Below are 16,980 nucleotides of genomic sequence, written 5' to 3'. Positions count from 1 at the left end.
AGTAATTGGCTTTTATCTTGTGTCACAGGAGCTCGTAAAGGGTTGTGAGCAGATGGGCATGGCGGTGCACGCCTGTGGTACCAGGTACTTAGACGGCTGAGGCAGGAGGATCGATCACTTGAGCCCAGGAGTTCAGGGCTATAGGGTGCTATACTCCCGCCTGTGAATAGCCACTGCATGACAGCCTGGGCCACACAGTGAGACCTCCATCTCTTAAAAATAAGAAAAGTAGCCAGGAGCAGTGGCTTACGCCTGTAATTCCGGCACTTTGGGAGACTGAGGCGGGCAGATCACCTGATGTCAAGAGTTGGAGACCAGCTGACCAACATGGTAAAACCCCGTCTCTACTAAAAATACAAAAAATTAGCCAGGTATGGTGGCGTGCGCCTGTAATCCCAGCTACTTTGGTGGCTGAGACACGAGAATTGTTTGAACCTGGGAGGTGGAGGTTGCAGTGAGCTGAGATTGCGCCACTGCACTCCAGTCTGGGTGACAGAGTGAGACTCTGTCTCAAAAAAAAAAAGGAAGAAAGAAAAGTAATAATAATAAAGAGTTGTGATCAGAGAAGGGACATAATCACCAAGATCTTAAAGGATAACCCTGGTTGCTGTGTGAATAACAGACTTCAGAGCAGCACTGTCCAACAGAAATATGTTTCAAGCCACATGCATAATTTAAAATTTTCTAGTGGCCAGATGAAAAACAGTAAGGAATCAGGTGAAATTAACTTCAATAATATATTTTGTTTCACCCAAAATATTATCATCTCAACATGTCATCTATATAAAAAAACTATTAGCGATGTTTTACATTGGTTTCTTTATACCACATCTTCAAAAACCAGTACATATTTTGTATTTACAGCACATCTCAAGTTGACCTAGTCACATTTCATGCACCCACTGGCTACATGTGGGGACTGTACTAAATAGCACAGCTCGAATGAGGCAGGAGTGAGACAGCAGGAAGACCAAGTAAGAGGCAGTTCCCAGGTGCAGAGGGGCAGGGCTTAGAGTCCCGCCCCTGCTAGCAGCAGTGGAAGGGGCAAGTCCTACTTCGTGGGATCATCGTGGGGGTAAATGAGGTAGGAAGGGAATGAGAGTGCTGGGTGAATGTTATGGTTTGGTATTATTATTTACAGTTACCTGACCACTGCAATCTCTGTGCAGCAAGCACAGTGCCAGAGATTAACCCTCCGAACTTCAGTGGCCTCTCATCTGATCCCTTAGACACCCAGGAAGGCCAAACCCTGGCCCCCAACAACAGAACTGGGTATACAGAGGGAGATATGAGCCTGGAGCAGTTGTCACCTCTGAGACAATCCATCCCTAAGCAAGCAGAGCCTCCCTGCCCACAGATGCCACGTCCCGTCTCCTAGCCATGGACCCCAAGGAGAGGGGAGAGAAGAGGCTATGGGGCTGAGAATTGAGCCTTGAGCCCAGCTTGGGAACTGGACACCAGGGCCTGGGTCTTCCTCAGCCCAGAGCATTGTATGACCTTGGCCCAGCCCTCTCTGCCTTGTCTGCAGAGTTTCCAAGTGAGGAGCTTGCACTGCATGAGGTTATAGGGATACAGGGCAACACATGAGACTCCTTGTTCACTAAGGAAATAACTCCTTATGTGTGTGTGCATCTCTTAGACATGGGATCTACAGCCCAAACAACCTGGAGGATCAGGTGTTATCTTACAACTAAAAAAATAATAATAATGATAATAGCTAACACAGGCCATTTTGTGTTCTAAGTACTTTGATATAGATTAACCCATTTTGTCCTTATTACCCAAGGTCACCCAGCTTCTGACAGGCAGAGCTGGCATGTGAACCAGGCAGTCTGGCTCCAGCACCCTAACCACCACACCTCCTGCCTCTCTGGTGGAGCACAAAGGTGCCAGAGTCATCATCACTCAAAACCATCAAGCACCTTTCATGTGCCAGGCAGCACAGGGCCCTGCCCCTTCTGAGCTTACCCGCTAGGGGACGAGTTCTCTATGAATTTTCTTCTGGGAATGCACAGAGGGGTTTTGCCCAGGGTGGGGAGGGCTGGATGAACATTCCCTCCTACTACGACTTCTCCCTGATACACAGATACCTGTCTGATGTCAATAAGAATTAGAAAGAAAACAAGGATGTGAGGGAGGGGAGCTGAGCTGAGTCCAGGCTGGTGTCCAATGGTTAGCATTAGTGTCATAGGTCAGAATCCCTGGAAATACTCTGAGACTGTGAGATTGGCATTGGCAAGGCAGAGCGGGCATGCCCAAGGTCACGCAAGGCTTCTGGGCTGAGAAACACCCAGGCTCTGGTGTCCCAATTCCAAAGCTGGGCTCAAGGATCAATCCTCAGCCCCACAGGGTAAGCCTCTTCTCTCCCCTATCCTTGGGGTCCATGGCTAGGGGATGGGACATGGCATCTGTGGCCAGGGAGGCTCTGCTCACTCAAGCTGTACCACCTCTGAGTTGTCTCAGAGGTGACAACTGCTCCAAGTTCACATCTCTCCACCAGTTCTGTTGTTAGGGGCCAGAGTTTGGCCTTCTTGGGTGTCTAATCTCACAGCCTCACCGTTTCTGGGGGAGTTTACTGGGGAGTAATCCCAAGAACAACAGGAAGCGAGGGAAGCAGGGTTGGGCAAATGGAGAAATTGATCTGCCATGCAGTCATACCAAAGGCCTCAGCCAATCTCCCAAGGACCTCTGGAACTGGGATGGCCCTTCAGTAGTGTCACAAGTTGATGCAAGGGGACTTGGCCTTTGTACAACTCCCCCACTCCTACAATCAATAGGCCATTGGATACAGGCTGCCCCCAGGGAGGAGGAATAACGCTGGGCAAGGTTCTCCCCCCACTTCCATCAAAGGCAATTCCCTGAGACGGATTCAGCTGTGAGTCATCCACAGCCCACACACCCAGAAGCTGGGGAGCGAGCGCCTCAGACCTGAAGGGGAATCTGAGCATGCACCACAGCATCCACTACAGTCAGCAGCCGGGACTTGAGAGCGACGCACCTCCTCCCAGGAAACAAAGCAGCACTGTCATGGTGGCAGGAATGGCGAGCACAAGCCTGGCCCGGGAACACAGCTGGGGAAGTCTCAGTCACTGCAGGGACTTGGGCCCAGCTGGGGGCTCTGTCTCTAAGCCACTCACCACCCCCACCCTGTGTTACCCACTCCAGCCAGTCCCAGTTCCAATTCCAGCTCCCCGCCCCATCCTGCAGCGTGGAGATCTCCAACCCCATCTCAGCCCGGCTATCAGGAGGCCTGAATGAGTTTTGGCAAGTGGGAAAGTTTGTTCGCTGTAGGGTGCTGTCCACACAGGAGGGGGCTTTTATTAAGCTATCATTACTCTCTGCATCCCCTGCCTTTGAAAGACCTGCTTCCCTGAGCCCACCACACCGGCTTTCTTCCCTTGCCCTGGACTCCCCTCCCCTGATCCTTCTCTTCTCAGTCCTTTGAATCTTCCCTCTCTCACTGACTCTGTCTTGCCTTTCTGAGACTCTCTCTCTCTCTCCCCCACTCCCCCCTCACCCCCTCAATCTCCATATCCCTCTGCTCTATCTGCATCTCTATCTCCGTCTGATTTGGGTCTTTTGCCTTTGGGCCCTCTGCAGTTTCACTTCCAGCCAACACAGCTCACCGCCTAGTCTGTGTGCTGCCCCACATCTGCTGTCCAAGCCAGGTCTGGCTGGGGTCGGGAGGACTGGCCTCAACTCTCAGGCCCACAGCAGCTGCTGGGTTCAAAGCTCGCCCACCCACCCACCCCTCCAAGAACAGAGATGGCAACTACCCCAATCCTTCCTGGTTCCCAGGCAGGCCCAGAGTCCCAGACTTTTTTTTTTTTTTTTTTTTTTTGTTTCGTTCTTGTTGCCCAGGCTGGAGTGCAATGGTGCAATCTCCACTCAGTGTAACCTCTGTTCAAGTGATTCTCCTGCCTCAGCCTCTCAATTAGCTGGGATTACAGGCATGTGCCACCACGCCCAGCTAATTTTTTGTATTTTTAGTAGCAATGGGGTTTCACCATGTTGGTCAGGCTGGTCTCGAACTCCTGACCTCAGGTGATCCACCTGCCTCAGCCTCACAAAGTGCTGGGATTATAGGCATGAACCACCATGCCTGGCCCCAGACTGTTTGTTTACTATAGTAGTGTGGAGAGGTTCTGCAGCAATACAACTGTATCACTCTAAAAGCTTGGTGCTGGCTGGAGGCCAGCAGCCCCTCAGCATCATGGGCAGGCTGCCAGGCAACAAGGCCCTGCCCCTGGAGCAGTGCAAAGCCCTGGCCCTGCTCACCTGGCGACCACATTGGCACACTCCACAGCTGGGACTGAAGGTCATAGGCCTGGTGCAGCAGGAGTGGCAGCAGCATGCAAGATTCCCCACTAACCAGGGTGCCCAAGCCAGGCAGCTGCTGCCAACCCCACAGCCAACACAGAGCCCCTCCTCTTGGCTCTACAGAGATGGAGGGACTTCACTTCACAAGGAGCTCTCTACAAACCTGGTGAGGAGAGGAAATGCACAAACAGAGGGGTCATAAAAGCATAAACACTGACGAGCTCCCAGCACACTTACTCCACAAGCATAACTGAGCTGGTGGCTGCATCAGGCAAGCAGTCAGTGGGTGGGTGGGTGGGTGGATGGATGGATGGATGGAGAGAAGGAAGGAAGGAAGGAAGGAAGGAAGGAAGGAAGGAAGGAAGGAAGGAAGGCAGGCAGGCAGGCAGGCAGGCAGGCAGGATGGATTATGGATGGTTGGATAGATGGATAGACGGATGAATGGAATGACAGATGGAGCCATGGTTTCCAGGTTAGCGTAGCCCATCATACAAGACCTTCCTTTTCCTTCACCCCACCCAGAAAACCCCCTTTTTCCAGGTTTATTTATTCACCAAAGTCTATTGGAACTGTCAGATCTGTTCCACGGCCTCTGAATTTTGAGCAATTTTCTATTTAATCTTTTCTGCCCCTTTTCCTCCGGAAGAGGGTGAGGAGCCCAGGTCATGGGCACAAGCTGGGTGCACAGGCACAGGTGGGCAGTTAGGAACTGAAAAGTCTGCCCTGGCTGAGGCCCTGTGAGCTGATCATCGTAAGGAAAGGACAGAGTCAGCCGGGCACAGTGTGAACCGCCCTGCTGCCTCCAGCAGAGTTAGTGAAACCACAGGGAGTGTTCGGGGACTGCCCCATCAGAAAATGGAAGTTTTTCTTTTCTCCCTGCCAGCAGTCTCAGCCCTGAACTGGAACGTGGCTCCCTAGGCAGAGTCCAAAAACAGGGCTTAAGCTACACAAATGGGTTGGAGGGAGGCCAGGAGCTGAGTGGTAGAGAAGGAACAGAGAAGGTACAACTGGAAGCCCCCTGGGAGGGGATGTTCTGAGGCAGGCCTGACTGGAGAGCACCCTTTCTAGCCTGTCACTGGGTGGCTCCCAGGAGGCTAACAGCCTGCGCTTAGGCAGGGCCCAGTCAGGACGGGAAAGACCCTGCAGCAGTCATGTTCTCAGAACTGCCCCACCTCACCCACTGTGGAGATCCTGGTCTTCCTGGGTGGCACATACTGGGTACCTGAGGTGGCTGGGAGATGGGAAGAAGGTAGAGGAAACAGAGGAGGACCAGCTGTCTCCCCAGACTTCCCCAACTCAATGTGGTGCTGTGAAGACTAAATGAGATAATATACATAAAGTGCTTAGAAGCAGTGAGCACCAAATAAGTGTTAGCCACTGGCATCTAGGATAGTGCCTGGCACAAAGCAGGCACTAAATGTTTGTTGAAGGAATAAATGAATCCTGCCCCCACTTAGCTCCTCTACATCAAATACTGGAGAATTGGAGTCAATATTGTCTCTACAGCTACTGTGGAAAGTGGATGTACACATTAAGTTCATTCCCACCGCAGGGCCTTTGCACTTGCTGTTCCCTCTGCCAGGAGTGATTTCCCACACATTTTCACATGGTTCAGGCTCTCACCTGATTTAGATCTCTGCAGCTGGAAATAAGAAAGGGCTCTGACCATTGCCTGCTGGGAGAGCTCCCCACTTCCCAAAGTTGTCTCTCCTTCTCTAGTCCAGGACCCTCACCAAGTCCATAAACACACACACACACACACATACACACACACACGTATATCCAGGCCATCCTGACTAGACAGCCTCAGTGTCCCTACCCTATCCAGGGCTGGGCCTTGAGCCAACAGAGGATCTGGCCTGGCAGGTGGTCCCACCCATCTGCTGATGGCTGTCAGTGTCCCTGCATGACAAGGGCTCACTCAACTCACAGCAGAGGTCATGCTCTGTTCCCAACCGTCTGCCCTCCCAATTGGCCTTGGCAAAAACCACAGTACCATGCAAACACGAGGGTGCAATGAACCAGGATTTAAGAATCCTTGCTGTACCACTTAAGAAAAAAACACTTTTACTGAGCACTTACTGTGTGCCAGCCACCATGCTAAGCTGTCCACACACTTGAGCCCATTTAACTCACAAAAACTAAATGATCTTGGTTTTATCCTTATTTTACACCTAGCTGAGGCAGAATAAACTGGTCAAGTGCTTGGGCTCTGGAATGAAACAGAGCTGGGTTCAAATCTAGACTCCTCCACTTACTTGCTGTGTGACCTTGGGCAAGTTACTACAGCTCTCTGATCCCTGCTTCTCCCCTGTAATGAGGAGACATGACATTAACTGCCTGTCTGGGCTCTTGTGAGGATTAAAGGAGATAATGGGTGTAAGTACCGCATGGTGCCAAGCACAGAGCCTCCACCAAGGTCGGGGTCTGCCCTTCCCTCCTTATCTCACCAGTTCTCCTGCCAAAGTTTACAGGCTAGGACTGATCTTCTCCACAGTTCCAGACACAGGGCTGGGCACTGCCAGCACACAGAAAATTCTTGCTGATTGGCAGATTTTCTCAATTCCTGTCCCAGGCCTTGATTGCAGAGAGCACTCCCTTTCTCAGAGCTTCTAAGCAGAGGATTCCTGCCCTGGGCAGCCCCGGGGGGCAGGCACTCTGCAGAGACAGCCTCTGAGCTCTGCCTTGTTTGGAAGCCTTTCCCACCACCATGAGTCCTAGAACCTGAGCTTGTCCTGGCTCCCTGGGTCTGAGTTCCCACCCAGAAAATGTGGCCGCCACCCAGGCTCCTCCAAGACCATGGCCAACTGTGGGCCCACAGTCACTCACCCCAGTGCCTGGAGCCCTGACCTGCCCCCAGTCCCTTGGCTGGACCCTGCCACATGCTAACAGACATCCCCGACTCACACCAGCTGCCCAAATCACGCTAGAATAACAGGCTCCAGGCTGCTCACCACGCCCTCTATGGCTGCCAGCCACTACCTATGGCTGCCAGCCACTACCCATGGCTGTCACTTTCAGGCCACCCGAGAACCCCCACATGCTCACACGGAGCCTGCAGCCACATTGATGCCAGCCATGCCCTTGCAGGGCCCAGAAGCCTGGCAGAAAAATCACACAGGCACTTTGACATTAATCAAAGACACTCATAAATAAATATGTGTAAATTGTATGCAAACCAAGGTAGGAATTTACATCTTTCTCTGCTGAGTCAGCATCTCAAGGCACCAGGGAGGCTGCCTGTAGCTCAGGAGGTTTGGGACAAGAACCCTCAGCATCTAGGGGTCCATTGAACAGTCCCAAATTCATCACCTGAAGTTCTAGAACTTCCAAGTTTGAAGAAACAGCGATTTACTGACTGCCTGCCACACATCATGCATTCTCCTACATACTAGCTACTACAGGTATGAAATGAGATAGCATGTAAAGTGCTTAGAAGTGCTTACTGCTGGCACCTATAAGAACCCAATATATGTGAGCTATGATTAATATCCTCCAATTTAACCCTCACAATGACAATAATCATTAGTAAAACTACCATTAATATTATCAGCAATAATTACTATCATCGATAGGGTGCTTCCTATGCCACAAGCTCTCCATGAGTAGCAGACAGTGCTGGCGCTCCACCCCCATTCCTCCAGGCCCTACCATTTCAGTGTACTCTAGCCTGACTTCAAATTGCCTGCAGCTGCATCCTTGCCTGAGGGCTTCTTCTGGTCTCCAGGAGCCTGCTCTGCCCTCCCAAGGCAGGCTCAGAGTGCTAGAGAATTAACCTTCACCCCAACCCCCAGAATGACTGACATGACAGTAGATAAATGACCTGGCTTCCTCATCTAGCAAGTGGGGTAACTCTCAGAAGTGTGTTCAACACAGGCGCCCAGTGATCCTCAGTGGTCCAGTTACCCATAGTGTAACTTGCAACTTGCTCCAAGAGGCTCTCTCTGTGGGCTTCCTCCCCTCCCAGTCTCACAGGCCCACTCCCTACCAGCATTTCCTGGAATCACTTTCCTGCATGTGTTCAAATCCTTATCTTGGGATCTGCTTCTGGGGAAACCCAAACATGCATATCTCATTGAACCCTCATGAGAACCCTAAGAGGTAGAAATTCACCCTTAGCAGGATATCAGACTCCTGACCACGTTCTACAAGGGCCTGCTAGGTCTGCATCACCTCCCTCTTGGATCTCAGCTCCAGCTGCTCTCTCCTCTGCCACTCTGCTCCAGCAACATCAGCTGCCTTTTGTTCCTTGGACACACAAGGACACCTTGGCACCTCACAGTCTTCCCTGCCAGGACGCTCTTTCCATGGCTCTCAGTGTGACTGGCCCTTCTCATCCCCAGGCCTCAGCTCCCATGTCACATCCTCAGGGAGGGTTTTCTCAACCAACTGCATCTGGGCCCCTCCAGCAACTCTATCATAGCATCCGATGCAGTCTCTTCAAAACTCTTAGTATAATCTGTAGTCATCTTCTGTGAAACTGTTTATTTGTTTCCTGTCTGATTCTCTTCCCTCCTCTTCTAGAATGTACATTCTCTGAGGACAGTGGCTTTGTCTATCTTTTTCATGGCTATATCCTCAATGCTTGGGCGAAAACAGGTGATAAAAAATATTAGCTGAGGCCAGGCACGATGGCTCATGCCTGTAATCCCAGCACTTTGGGAGGCCAAGGCGGGCGGATCACCTGAGGTCAGGAATTCCAGACCAGACTGGCCAACATGGTGAAATCCCATCTCTACTAAAAATAAAAATAAAAAAATTAGCTGGACCTTGTGGTGGGCGCCTGTAATCCCAGCTACTTGGGAGGCTGAGGTAGGAGAATTGCTTGAACCCAGGAGGCGGAGGTTGCAGTGAGCCGAGATCACACCACTGCACTCCAGCCTGCGCAACAGAGCGAGACTCCGTCTCAAAAAAAAAAAAAATTAGTTGAAATGTAAGGACAAACTATTTGTAGGCTGGTGTGGTGGCCCATGCCTATATTCCCAACACTTTGGGAGGCCCGGGTGGGAAAATCGCTTGAGCCTAGGAGTTCAAGACCAGCCTGGGTAACATAATGAGGCCCTATCTCTACAAAACATCTTTTTTTAAAATAGCTGGGTGTGGTAGCATGCACCTGTAGTCCCCAGCTACTCAGGAGGCTCAGGTGGGAGGATCGCTTGAGCCCAGGAGGTCAAGGCTGCAGTCAACTGTGATCACGTCACTGCACTCCAGCCTGGGCAACAGAGCGAGACCCTGTCTCAAAACACACACACACACAACTATTTGTATTGTATTCCTGGGTTAAAGTTAAGTATAGCTAAGACAGTTTAAGCAAATTGCCCCTGGTCACACAGCTGGTAAGAGGCAGCACCTACACTCAGAATCAGGTCTGCCTGGCTCCAAGCCCATGATCTGAACTACTGTGGTACTCTATTTTCATTTTACAGATGGGGAAAACTGAAGCACTGGGAGGTTTGCCAGGAGCCAGAACAGGGACTTGAGCAGGTCTCCAAGCTGTAAAACCAGCGCTCCTTTCCCTATACCTCAGGCCCCACCCACGCTCCCCCCAAAGCATAGCCTGATACAAAAATCCTCCTGCGGCATTTCTGAGAGCAGCTACTCTGCCTTTACTCAATTCCTCCAGAGTCAGGGAGCTTAGTCTCTGACAAGGTGGTCCTTAGAATGGGGAACCCGAACACTGGCTCCCTAAAATGTCCATGGCTTGATCTGAACTCTGCTCCTTCAGGTCACAAAGAGTTTATCTACTCCCTGGGACCCAGGACAGCCCTGCAGACAAGAGGCAGAAGCTGCAATCTCAATGTCCATCAGTAGATTTTAAAGAAATTACAGTGCATCAACACAATGAATACTGTACAGCCATTTCAAAAGGGTAAAGTGGATAAGATGTATTAAAAAATAGACACACATCCAAAAACATTGTTAATTTAAAAAAACAAGTTACAGGCCGGGTGCGGTGTCTCACGCCTGTAATCCCAGCACTTTGGGAGGCCAAAGCAGGCGGATCACCTGAGGTCACATGTTCGAGACTAGCCTGGCCAACGTGGTAAAATCCTATCTCTACTAAAAACACAAAAATTAGCCGGTGTGGTGGCAGGCACCTGTAATCCCAGCTACTCGGGAGGCTGAGGCAGGAGAATTGCTTGAATCCAGGAGGTGGAGGTTGAAGTGAGCCAAGATTGCGCCACTGCACTCCACCCTGGGCAGCAGAGCAACACTCCGTCTCGACAACAACAACAAAAAAGAACAAGTTACAAAACACTATAAAACACTATATGCACTGTGGTCCCATCTTCTGCCAAAAGAATTCATATCTCTATCTATCTATATATCTGTACATAATAGATCCACAGATAACGATATAGATTACTACCTGGATAACCCTGGCAAGTTTGAGTTCAACTCTCTGAGCCTCAGTTTCTTCATTTGTAAAATGGGAATAATAGTTGCAGCTAACCCATAATGTTTTTGTGAGGATGCAATGCGTAAATTCAGGTAGAAGCATTTAGCACAGTACCTGCACATCATAAACCCTCAATAAACCTAAGCTACTATTATTAAGTACTGTGTGTCCACACAAAAAAAAGGTCTGGAAAGATATAGCCACCAGGAGTAGTTATGAGGAATGAGGCAGAGAGGCTGATGGAGGACTTCCATTTTCTATTTTGTATACTACTTTTCTAGTGTTTACAAATGAGCTTGTATTGTTTTTATCATCAGCAAAAACATAAAGATATTCCTATTTGGTGGAATAAAAGACACAAAAGCAGAGACCATGTCCTCGGAACATTCACTTCTCAGCTACCTCTTCATGGTTCCACATGCCCCCCTATTCTGGCCTTTCTCCCCATACACATTCCTAGGGATCCATGTCCCTCTGAAGCTGGCCAGGTGCCAGGGTGTCCTGACCAGTGAGAGCACCTTGCTCTGGATACAACGTTGATATTGATAAAACTTTTTGTGACTTTCTCTCTCTGGCAAGACGAGCATACCTAGGAACCCTGTAACTTCTCCATTCGTGCTGAGCCAGGCCTCTATTCTCCCACCTGCCCCCAAGGAGTTGGGTTTGGTCCCAGGTCAAGGTCCTGACATTTGCCCGACACAGTCCTCCTTATTAGACTTAGTCCCATCCCTGCAGCCCACAGAGAGGCTATTATGTCTGGATTCATTGCTGCCCCCTGACCTTCACTTCACTTCACCGATAAAGAACCTTGGGCAGGACAAGCCTCCACCAGGCTCTTGTCCAGGGCACTCTGGGTCCATTACCCAGCGCTTTTGGCTACAGTCAACCAACCAGGTATGAAAAAGACATGCCCTCTTCTCTGAAGCCCACTTCTTCTGAGACTGCAAACCAGTGTCTACAGTATCCCTCTAAGCCCTCATTTTTAAAAAAGAAGGAAATGAGATCACAGGGGCACAACCTATGGTCATTCAACAGGCATTCTTTATTGGTGAGTACTATAGACCGGGAATTGAGCTGGGTGCTGGGGGATAGAGGTGAAGCAGATCCAGTCCCGGAGCCCCAGAGCTCACAGTCCTATGGGAGAGACAGACACACAAAGAATTAATGACAATATAGGCCTGTAAATGCTAATGCACAAATGGACTGTGGAAGCAGGACAGAGGCTGTGGCTTAGTCTAGAGGGGAAAACTTCCCAGGGCTGGTGACCCTTGTGCTGGGATTTGAAGAATGTAAAGCAGAGATGGTGGACATTCCCAGGAGAGGGAACCATGTGTGTGGAGATAAGGGGTCTCGGAGGGCCCCGTGTGTTTGCAGGAACAGAGCTCAGTGTTGCTGGATTCAGAGGGTCAGCAGAGACAGGATTACCAGGGACTTTGGGCCTGATGATGTACATAACAGGGAGCAATAGAAGTGTTCTCAGGAAAATTAGCCAGGTGTGGTGGTGGGTGCCTGTAGTCCCAGCTACCCGGGAGGCTGAGGCAGGAGAATAGCTTGAACCCGGGAGGCGGAGGTTGCAGTGAGCCAAGATTGCACCACTGCACTCCAGCCTGGGCAACAGCGTGAGACTCTGTCTCAAAAAATAAATAAATAAATAAATAAATAAATAAATAAATAAATAAATAGAAGGGTTCTCAGGAGCCAAGTGCAAAGTGACATGTCCAAATTGTGTCTTAGTGGGAACACTGTGACCTGACTCAAGTACCTAGATGAGGGATTGGAGAAAGGGAGAATCATCCTAGACCGGTCACTGGATTTTATAACCTATCGATCCCCTCATGCGTTCTTTTGACTTTGGTTTCCCAGAGCCACTGGGGTTGTAGGCTTTGTCCAGTGCTCGAGGTACCCAGAGCAACCAGGCCAATGGACCTACAATTGAAGGTAAACTGAGGCATTCCACCTAAGATCCCGTTCCTCGGTAGAAAGGAGAACAGGGACATGAGCCCTGCACACACTCTGTGTTCAGCCACAAACCAAAGTTGAGGCTCAGGGGTGATTTTATCTGCAATGACAAGTCCATCCCCAGGCTCAGACAGGTATTGTTCCAGGCCCAGCAGACGTCCCCAAGTTAAACACACATCCAGGGCTCAAACAGACATTGCCCCCAGGCCAGGAAGATGATGTACCAGGCCCAGACAGATGTTGTGCCAGGTTCAAACACATGTCCTGAGCTCAGACAGAAGCTGTCCCAGGGCCAGATAATGTGCTGGGCTCAGCCAGGTGTCCCAGCCTCAAACAGATGTTGTCCCTAGCCTAGGCAGATGCTACCCTAAGCTCAGACAGATGTCTGCCACGAGAGATATATAAAGATGCTGAGAGGTCCCTGGGAAAATATAATTCCTAAATCCTCCTTCACCACTTCCACCCTCCACCTGCTACCCCCCAAGAAAGCTGAGAAAGGTCAGCAATGAGCCCAGACAACTCTCCCCAGACCTTCCCACCTTGCAAAAGCCAAGTAGTTGTATCATTCCATTCTTCCCCCTGACTACAAGCTAGACTACTACATTGGAGGCGTGGGGAGACATACAGTGGGATGATGAACGAGGCACATGTACAGGAGTACAGGGCACCTGTGCCATCTGGGGAGTAGCAAACGGTGATGCCCAGGCTAGCCAAGCTGACCCTATATTGGGAGAGGGAGGTGGGGGTGGTTAGAGGAAAATGTGGGTTGATGTAAGGACCAGGCCCATTAAATCCCACCTCAAACCTCACACTCTGTGACTAGAGGGGAAGGGAAAGTCCTGTGACCTCATCCCCGTACACACATGCTCTGCTCAACACCCAGGGAATATGATTACTGGGTCATGTGAAGGTAATTACTACTCCAAAGCTGGGCTGCATTAAGCTAGGGAGAAGGAGAGGAATAAGGAGGCTGATCCAGTGTGAACAGAGAATGGGGAGATGGTCCCATTTATCAGCTTGATCCTGGCTGGAAGAATAAGCTTCCTTCCCCAAGATCCCCCACAGGAGCGTCCAGGAACTGACAGCTTCCTGATAGGAGCGGCCACATCACTCTTATCCCTATTGGAAGCTAGAATTATGTGTACTGTGGCTATGCAGAGGTCAGGTTTCAGGAACTGCGGGTTTTGGAGGTTCCTGAGCCATGGGGTGGAGGCAGCCACTATACCTGAGACTGGGGAGTAAGAGGTGTTAACAGTGAGAGCCTGACCTCCCTATCTGCCCTAAGAGGTCTCCCACTTGGGCTCAGACTGAGTCTCTTCAAGAGGAGAGCTCCCCAAGCCACCAGGCAGCTAGCTCATGAATATGCAAATCAACCTTGAGCCACACCCCCCCAGCAGGTGCTGGTTGGGACTGCCCTCCTGTTCTACCTTCCTCCCCTAGGGAGCTACCCTGAGGCTGAGGAGGGTGAGATGTGGTCTCCCACCAGAGGGGAAGTACTCACACACACAATAAAACAGTATCCCAAAACACTCTCAAACGGAAGTACTGTCTGACACAATTACAAACCAAGTGTCTGACACTAATACAAACCAAGCAAAAGCACCCTAACACAAGCACATAAATGGGCATCTCTAAAGTAGAAACGTATGAATTCATGCAAGCATGCTAACATAAAGTCACCATATATACAAGCACACCAAGCCACCTACACACTATTATAAACATCATAACACATATAATCACAAGGGAACTGCCCTCCCTTCCTCCCACCCCACCCAAACTGCCTACTCCCACCCTTCAATTGGACTACAAAGTCAACCCAAGGCCCAGAAAGGTATCTCACTTTTCTAATGATGGTGACAAGGACTTAAATTATCATCCCCTGCTCCCACCCTATCCTGTGATGGTGAATTTTGCAGCCATCCGGATAAAAAGTATGTTTTAAAAAAAAGAAAGAAAGAAAGAAAGAAACTAAAGCCTAGCCCCAGCCTTTCAGAGTTGATTAATCCCCACTAATGATTTACCGATTTGCAGAGAGCGTGTTCTGCATAACCGGATTGTGGGCATTAACACCAGCTCAAAGGCTGACATTCTGCTAAAAATGAAAGTAAATTTCAAGAGCAATTGACCACCCCTAATTTGAATATTCTACTGACACTCTGGGAGGACCCCTACCCACACCCACAGCCTAGGGGCTGAGGCAGGAAAACAAAAATACAAGGAAAGATTCTTCCCAAAGAGATATTTCACCTTCTGTCCCTCCTTCCCTTCACCAAGACCTGAGATTAAATAAGTTAGATCGCTCCTTTCTCTTCTGCCAAAGGCAGCGACGGCCCTACTACTACTCCTCTCTTCTGCCTTGGGCTCTAAAGATTACAGGAAGGACAGAAGAACTGGACACCTGAAGGGGCTGAGCTTAGAGGGAGAGACGTAGGGGCTTTGAGGGCTCAGAAGGGTGAGCTCATCCTATGCGGGGAGAGCTTTAGGATGGTGGCAAGCACTACAAATCTGTCTAGATGGCACCCACCCTCGCCAAGGCAGTGGATCAATAAGATGACCCTGGCACCCTCCTAAGACTGGGAATTTATGACAGCTAGGACCCTGCCAGACTCTTCCAGTCAAAACCACATTGCAGCTCAGAATGCGCGGGCAGCAAGCCCCAGTGGGCGTGGTCCCTCCTGACACTCTTTAGCAAGAACTGGTTAGGGGAGCAGGCAGGTTCCACGCCTGCTCACACAGCCTCTTACCCACCCCAGATGGCCGGCCAGGGAGGGAAATCAAGCCACACTTTCCCTTTCCAAGTTTTCTTCAAGCAGTGATCTCACCCCCATCTTCTCAAGCAGCCAACAGAGACCATATTGCCCAACTTTCAGATGAGGATACAGAGGGTTAGGAGGCTGACACTGGCCCAAAATGAGGCCTGAGTCAGGGCCAAGATGGAACCCAGGACCCTTTACTGCCAAGCCAGGCCACTCTGAAAAGGCAAGATCCAGGGCATAAGGAGACTGCCAGGAGGGAAAGGAAGTGGCCCGCGAGTGCTGCCCCGGTCCAGCCAGCCTCAAAGACTCAAAGTCCATGCATGCGGGAGGCATCCTAAGATACACAGCCTGTCCGGCAGCACTTCCCATGGGCCCCATCTCTCCTCTTCATCTCTTAGCATTCCTGACTTGTGAGGAATCCAGGTGGAGCATCCTGGAGCCTGTCTTCCCCCAGCACTGAAAAGGCCTGAGGTCTGAAACTGCATCTGCTCTCAACCCATCCTGGACTCCTAACCAACTGACCAACTCACAGAAGAGAGCTCGGGGGCTCAGAGACCAAAGGGGGAAAGCAGCCAGACCCAGCTGCCTCCAGGAGACGCTGAGCAAGGCTCTTCCTCTTTCTCCTTCCCAAAGCTGTGCTCGGCGTGCCATTGTTAGGCCCCCTGACACCTGGGATGTGTGTCTGGAATACTGCCCTGTGTATGTGGCCGCCAGGGTGCTGATGACGACTGACTCGTGAGTATAGTTGTATTCTAGGTCCCACGTCTGTAACCCGGGGCTTTGCAGAAAGAGTATAAGGAGCTGGAGCTTGTGTAGCCTGTCCATCCCTGCAGAGCCTCCCTCCTACTCCCAGCCCCCCACAGCCCCCGGCTCAGAGACCCCCCACAGCGAGGGCCCCATCTGCTGGAGGCTCGGTGACCTGTGTCAAATGAGTAGGCGCTCGGTCACACTCCAGAGCCTGGAGGAGGCTGCTGTGCTCTGGGAAAGCCCAAGCAGCTCCTGCCTGGGGGCGGGCTGGGCAGAGGCCCCACTGGGGAGGGAGGCCCGGGAGACTCTGAAACTGGCGGCGGCCTGGCTGGGAGCTGCACTCCACAGAAAAGGAGAGTGGGAAAAAATATGAAAAGAAAAGCCTTGGGCCTAGCGCTGCAACCAAACCATGTGGACCAAACTCTGGGTTGGACACAGCCCTTTCCTCTGCTTTCTGATCCCCTGAGCGGATCTGTTATTTCTTACAGGGTGTGGGTAGATATGTCTGTGTGTCTCTGTGATGTGTGGGGTAAGCCTCTTTGTGCATCTGGGTGAGAGGGTGTGCATGGCTGGCTCCACGTGCTCTTGTGTGTGAGTATGATGGTATGCCTATGTGTGTGACTCGGCACACCAGCTGAGAGTCTCCATGTTTGTGGCCCCAAGAGCCTGTTAGGTTTCATGTATCTCTGTGTCAGCAAAGCAGTGCCTACTTCAGCCTATTTCAGCCTATGTGTGGGTTCTGTGTATCTCCCCATTTAGACACATGCCTGTATTTACCACTGGGTGTTGCTTTGT

General features: G+C 50.7%; 1 long non-coding RNA gene across 2 annotated transcripts in view, besides 3 other annotated features; it reads right to left on the bottom strand.

Moving 5' to 3' along the window:
* The window catches only part of MIR3659HG (MIR3659 host gene), a 72,397-nt gene that overhangs the window by 52,168 nt on the left and 3,249 nt on the right, over window positions 1–16,980 (bottom strand). Inside the window, exon 2 of one of the 2 annotated variants that reach the window (NR_168387.1) lies at window positions 11,744–11,854. The exons of the other annotated variant lie outside the window; for it this stretch is intronic. This is a non-coding gene — a long non-coding RNA (MIR3659 host gene). Of the gene's footprint in view, window positions 1–11,743; window positions 11,855–16,980 lie in introns of those variants that run through there. 2 annotated transcript variants of the gene reach the window in all.
* Window positions 5,271–5,330: an enhancer, noted in NCBI's record as "active region_787". NCBI's record gives its function as "activates an Ori minimal core promoter by ATAC-STARR-seq in GM12878 lymphoblastoid cells {active_cell/tissue: GM12878}" and the evidence as "EXISTENCE:reporter gene assay evidence [ECO:0000049][PMID:35858748]".
* Window positions 5,561–5,650: an enhancer, noted in NCBI's record as "active region_786". NCBI's record gives its function as "activates an Ori minimal core promoter by ATAC-STARR-seq in GM12878 lymphoblastoid cells {active_cell/tissue: GM12878}" and the evidence as "EXISTENCE:reporter gene assay evidence [ECO:0000049][PMID:35858748]".
* Window positions 13,935–13,994: a silencer, noted in NCBI's record as "silent region_687". NCBI's record gives its function as "represses an Ori minimal core promoter by ATAC-STARR-seq in GM12878 lymphoblastoid cells {active_cell/tissue: GM12878}" and the evidence as "EXISTENCE:reporter gene assay evidence [ECO:0000049][PMID:35858748]".

The sequence above is a fragment of the Homo sapiens genome, chromosome 1 (assembly GCF_000001405.40).
Source record: "Homo sapiens chromosome 1, GRCh38.p14 Primary Assembly".
Lineage (NCBI taxonomy): Eukaryota > Metazoa > Chordata > Mammalia > Primates > Hominidae > Homo > Homo sapiens.
This window is presented reverse-complemented; position numbering and strand designations above follow the sequence as displayed.